General features: G+C 46.3%; 1 annotated feature.

Moving 5' to 3' along the window:
• Positions 258-805: an enhancer, noted in NCBI's record as "NANOG-H3K27ac-H3K4me1 hESC enhancer chr1:62642659-62643206 (GRCh37/hg19 assembly coordinates)". NCBI's record gives its function as "activates a minimal SCP1, AML or CMV promoter by ChIP-STARR-seq in naive and primed H9 embryonic stem cells {active_cell/tissue: H9 hESC(naive and primed)}" and the evidence as "EXISTENCE:reporter gene assay evidence [ECO:0000049][PMID:30033119]".

Raw genomic sequence — 1,044 nt, forward strand, 5'->3', positions numbered from 1 at the left:
TGGGTGACAGAGCGAGATTCCATCAAAAAAAAAAAAAAAAAATCACCTCTAGTCCCAGGGCTAGTGGACGGGGATGCACCAGGTTCCCTAGATTGTTGAACCCATCTTGCTGGTTCTCTTCCTTTGCTCCTAGTTTGAGTCCTGGCATCAGTGAGGGCTAGATGCAGAGCCCACCACGTTGGGACCTCCACTGAGAGTTAGTTTTGTGTGAATCAAAATGAAATTCTAAGCCCCCCAACCAACTGAATGGAGACCCCCACCCCCATTCTAAAGCAAGCCTGAAAAACCAGTTCAGGCCATCATGGGAAGAGGGGATCAGACAAGCCTCATTATACCATTCTCCTTTTGGAATTCAGGCACAACTGACCAGCATTAACATTAAAATAAGAGATTTTAGGCCTGGTGTGGTGCTCACGCCTGTAATCCCGGCACTTTGAGAGGATCGCTTGAGCCCAGGAGTTCAAGACCGGCCTGGGCAACAAAGCAAGCCCTCCTCTCAAAAGAAATGAAAAAAAGAAAAAGTCAGATGCGGTGGCTCATGCCTGTAATCCCAGCACTTCGGGAGGCTAAGCCAGGTGGATTAGGAGGTCAGGAGTTCAAGAACAACCTAACCAACATGGTGAAACCCCGTCTCTACTAAAAATACAAAAAATAGCCAGGCGTGGTGGCACACGCTTGTAATTCCACCTACTCAGGAGGCTGAGGCAGGAGAATCACTTGAACCTGGGAGGCAGAGGTTGCAGTGAGCCAAGATGGCACCACTGCACTCCAGCCTGGGCGACAGAGCGAGACTCTGTCTCAAAACAAAAACAAAAACAAAAACAAACCATTAAAATAGAGATCCTAAGACTGACAAAGCCCACTCTTTGTAGCAATAAGATACCAAATTCCAACGTGACTCTAGTATAGTTTCACATGACAGAGAGCAGGCCCTGAAAGAAATCCAAAGTATTTTACCCCAAAATATATTCTTCTGACATATTTTAAAATGGCCCTGGTGGGCAAATCTACATTCTAGTGGGGAAATCTACATTCTGTAGAGAA

Source organism: Homo sapiens, chromosome 1 (assembly GCF_000001405.40).
Source record: "Homo sapiens chromosome 1, GRCh38.p14 Primary Assembly".
NCBI classification, from domain to species: domain Eukaryota; kingdom Metazoa; phylum Chordata; class Mammalia; order Primates; family Hominidae; genus Homo; species Homo sapiens.